The 4,850-nt window shown below is 40.6% G+C and overlaps 1 annotated feature.

Annotated features, from left to right (window-relative positions):
* Window positions 470–622: a silencer, noted in NCBI's record as "fragment chr8:132369382-132369534 (GRCh37/hg19 assembly coordinates)". NCBI's record gives its function as "represses an EF-1alpha promoter that drives an FKBP-Casp9 reporter gene in an ReSE screen in K562 erythroleukemia cells {active_cell/tissue: K562}" and the evidence as "EXISTENCE:reporter gene assay evidence [ECO:0000049][PMID:32094911]".

The raw sequence follows: 4,850 nt of genomic DNA on the forward strand, positions 1-4,850 counted from the left end.
TTGTCTGAGAAGAGGAATACTTTGACTTCCTATTTGGATGCCTTTTATGTATTTCTCTCACCTAAGTGCTCTAGTTACAACTTCCAGTATCACGTTGAATAGGAGTGGTGAGAGTGGGCCTCCTTGTTTTGCTCTGGTTCTCAAGGGGAGTGCTTCCAGCTTTTGCTCATTTAGTATGATGTTGGCTGTGGGTTTGTCATAGAGGGCTCTTATTATTTTGAGGTATGTACCTTCAATGACTGGTTTGTTTAGGGCTTTTTAACATCAAAAGATGTTAAAATTTTTTTTTTTTTTTTTTTTTTTTTTTTTTTTTTTGAGATGGAGTCTCACTCTGTGGCCCAGGCTGAAGTGCAGTGGCATGATATCTGCTCACTGTAACCTCCACCTCCTGGGTTCAAGTGATTCTTCTGCCTCAACCTGCTGAGTAGCTGGGATTACAGATGTGCACTGCCACGCCCAGCTAATTTTTGTATATTTTTAGTAGAGATGGGTTTTCACCATGTTGCTCAGGCTGGTCTTGAACTCCTGAGCTCAGGTAATCCACCGGCCTCAGCCTCCCAAAGTGCTGGGATTACAGGCATGAGTCACCACACCCAGCCTGATGTTAAATTTCATTGAAAACCTTTCCTGCGTCTATTGAGATAATCATGTGGTTTTGGTTTTTAGCTCTGTTTATGTAATGAATCACATTTATTGATTTGTATCTGTTGAACCAATGTTTCATCCCAAGAAGAAAGCCTACTTGATTATGGTGAATTAGCTTTTTGATGTGCTACTGTGTTGGGAACAGGCCCCCCAAAACCTGGCCATAAACTGGCCCCAAAACTGGCCATAAACAAAATCTCTGTAGCACTGTGACATGTTCATGATGGCCATGACCCCATGCTGGAAGGTTGTGGGTTTACTGGAATGAGGGCAATGAACACCCGGCCCACCCAGGTCGGAAAACTGCCTGAAGTCATTCTTAAACCACAAACAATAGTATGAGCGATCTGTGCCTTAAGGACATGCTCCTGCTGCAGATAACTAGCCGAACCCATCCCTTTATTTTGGCCCATCCCTTTGTGTTTCCTATAAGGGATACTTTTAGTTAATCCCATTTCCCATAAGGGATACTTTTAGTTAATCTAATATCTATAGAAACAATGCTAATGACTGGCTTGCTGTTAATAAATAAGTGGGCAAATCTCTGGGGCTGTCAGCTCTGAAGGCTGTGAGACCCCTGATTTCCCACTTTACACCTCTATATTTCTGTGTGTGTGCCTTTAATTCCTCTAGTGCTGCTGGGTTAGGGTCTCCCCAACCGAGCTGGTCTTGGAACTGCTGGATTTGACCTACTAGTTTATTATTGAGGATTTCTGCATCTATATTCATCAGCGATATTGGACTGGGGTTTTCTTTCTTTTGTGTCTCTGCTTCGTTTTGGTATCAGAATGATGCTGGACTCATAGAATGAGTTAGAAAGGAATCCTTCCCCCTCAATTTTTTGAAATAGTTTCAGTGGGATTGGTACCAGCTCTCCTTAATATATGTGATAAAATTCCACTGTAAATTCATCTGGTCCAGGACTTTTTCTGGTTTATAGGCTTTTTATTACTGATTCAATTTTGGAACTGATTACTGGTGTGTTCAGGGTTTCAATTTCTTCCTGGATAAATACTGAGAGGTCTTATGTTTCCAGGAATTTATTCATTTCTTCTAGGTTTTCAGTTTGTGTGCAAAGTGGTGTTTGTAACCATCACTGAAGTTTTTTTGCTTTTGGTATTTCTGTGGTGTCAGTGGTAATGTCTCCTTTGTTATTTCTGATTGTGTTTATTTGGATCTTCTCTCTTTTTTTTTACTTGGCTACCAGTGATCTATTAATTTTATTAATTCCTTCAAAGAACCAATTTGTGGTTCTGTTGATCTTTTGTACGTTTTCTTGCATCTCAATTTCATTCAATTCAGCTCTGATTTTGGTTATTTCTTGTCTTTTACTAGTTTTGCGTTCGTTTACTTTTGTTTTTCTAGTTCCTGAAGGGGTGATGTTTGTCTTTGATTTGAGAGCTTACTAACTTTTTGATGTGGCCATTTAATGCTGTAAACTTTCCTCTTAACACTGTTTCATCTGGGTATGTACCATGACAACAGGGAGCTGCACCCTTCAGCTGAGCTCACACAGAAGCAGGTCCACTGGTCTGGAGGCTCCAGCAGGTGTTGGCCTCCTGGCTGTCAGTGGTGGGGATGGATGAGGTCTTGGGCTCTGCTGTCTGGGTGTTTCCTGTGACAACAGGAAGCTGTACCCTACAGCTAAGTTCACACAAATGTATGACTTCTGGGCTGGAAACTCTAGCAAGTGTTGCCTCTTGCTACCAGTGGCAGAGGTTTAAGGGGTGGCCAGCCAAGTTCAGGACAAAGCAGGACTACTGAGCCAGAAGTTGCTGAGCCCTGGCCAGCAAACAGTGGTGGAGTGATATTACTGCTCTCTGGTACCACAACTGTGGCCACTATTGCACTATTGGGGTTGTGGCACTGGTGCTGGTCTGCTGTAAGTCCCAAGGCCTCTGGAGTTCCCCTTGGACTTGTGATTTGCCCCCATAAAACATCCAGGTGGCTCTGCCTCAGTCTAGAAGCATGGTGGGAGGGTGCAGGAGGATCCAGGGTGATTCTCCCATTCCCAGTCTTGTGCAGGCCTCTGTGGAGAGCAACAATCCTTCTGGGGGCTCTCACTTACTCACCCTTTCCCATGTTGAAGAGGTACTCCTGACTCCATATTGAGTCCAGGTGGCCTGGGGCCCAGCTTTGCTCCTCTCTATTTTCTGTGTTGCCCTGCTGCTCTGATAAATCTCAACATGGTTTTATAGATGATCAGCCTGCAGGGTCCATGTTCACTGGCCCTTTTGCTTCCTCTCTGTGAGGGTGGTGCATGCGAGCTGTTTCTAGTCTGCTCTCTGGGCCCTGCCTTCAATAGATCTTCACATTATTAATCTCTATTTTGTATTATTCTGTGATCCAAGAGCATGGTTGGTATGATTTTGTTTTGCTTTTGAATTTGTTGAGAATTGTTTTATGACTGAGCAGGTAGTCAATTTAAGAGAATATGTCATGTGCAGATGAGAAGAATGTATATTCTATTATTTGGTAGAGTGTTCTGTAGATGTCTGTTAGGTCTATTTGGTCAAGTGTCAAGTTTCAGTCCCAAATATCTTTGTTAATTTTCTGCATCAATGATCTATCTAATATTGTCAGTGTGGTTTTGAAATATTCCAGTATGATCGTGTAGTGATCTAAATTTCTTCCTAGGTCTCTGATAACTTGTTTTATGAATCTGGGCTCTCCATTGTTGGGTGAATATATTTTTAGGATAGCTAAGTCTTTTTCTTGAATTGAAAGCTTTGTCATTATGTAATGCCATGCTTTGGCTTTTTTTGATCATTGCTTGTTTCCAGTCTGTTTTGTCTGAAATTAAAATAGCTATCCCTGTTCTTTTTTTGCTTTTTATTTGCTTGGTATATTTTCCTCCATCTCTTTAGTTTGAGCGTATGGGTGTCATTGCTTGTGAAATGGGTCTCTTGAATATAGCATATAGTTTGTTCTTGCACCTTCATCCAACTTGCCACTCTGTGCCTTGTAAGTGTGGTGTTTTGCCTATTTATATTTGAGATTAATATTGATATATACAGATTTGATCCTGTCATCATGGTATTTGCTGGTTGTTCTGTAGACATGATTCTGTAGTTACTTCATAGCGTCAGTGGTCTATGTACTTAAGAGTGTTTTTGTGGTGGCTAGTAGTGGTCTTTTGTTTTCACGTTTAACACTCCCTTAAGGACGTCTTGCAAGGCAGGTCTGGCAGTAACATTTTCCCCTAGAATTTGCCTGTCTGAAAAGGATTTTATTTCTTCTTCACTTATGAATCTTAGCTTGGATAGATATGAAATTATTAGTTAGAATTTCTTTTCTTTAAGAAAGCTGAATATAGGCCCCCAACCTCTTCTAGCTTGTAGGATTTCTGCTGAAATGTCCACTGTTAGCCTGATGGGATTCTCTTTGTAGGTGATCTGTCCCTTCTCTCTAGCTGCCTTTAATATTTTTTCTTTTGAGTTTACCTTGGAGAATCTGATGACTATGTGGAAGGTTTTTTATATAACTCACAGGGGTTCTCTGAATTTCCTGAATTTAAATGTTGACCTGAGGTTGGGGAAATTTTCAGGGACAATATCCTCAAATATGATTTCCAAGTTGCTTGCTCTCTAACTCTTTCTTTCAGGGATGCCAATAAGTCATAGGTTTGGTCGTTTTACATAACCCCATATTTCTGAGAGGTTTTATTCATTTTTTAATTCTTCTTTCTTTATTTTTGTCTGATTGAATTGACTTGAAGAACCAGTTTTTGAGCTCTGAGATTCTTCCTTCAGCTTGGTATATTCTGCTGTTAATACTTCCAATTGTATTATGAAATTTTTATAGTGAGTTTTTCAGCTTCATGAGATCAGTTTGTTCTTTCTTAAAATGACTATTTTCTCTTTCGTCTCCTATATCCTTAGATTCCCTGGATTGAATTTCACCTTTCTTTTGAATCTCAATGATCTTCGTTGTGATCCAGATGCTGAATTCTTTGTCTGTCATTTCAGCTATTTCAGATTGGTTAAGAACCATTGCTAGAGAGCTAGTGCAGTCATTTGGAGGTAAGAAGACACTCGGGCGTTTTGAGTTGCCAGCGTTCTTGCACTAGTTCTTTCTTATCTGTGTGGGCTGATGTTCTTTTAATGTTTGAAGTTTCTGTCCTTTGGATGGGGTTTTTTGCTTTTATATTCTCTGATGCCCTTGAGTGTTCAACTGTGGTATAAGTTGGGTTCATTCAACTGGCC

Source organism: Homo sapiens, chromosome 8, assembly GCF_000001405.40.
Source record: "Homo sapiens chromosome 8, GRCh38.p14 Primary Assembly".
Classification (NCBI taxonomy): Eukaryota; Metazoa; Chordata; class Mammalia; order Primates; family Hominidae; genus Homo; species Homo sapiens.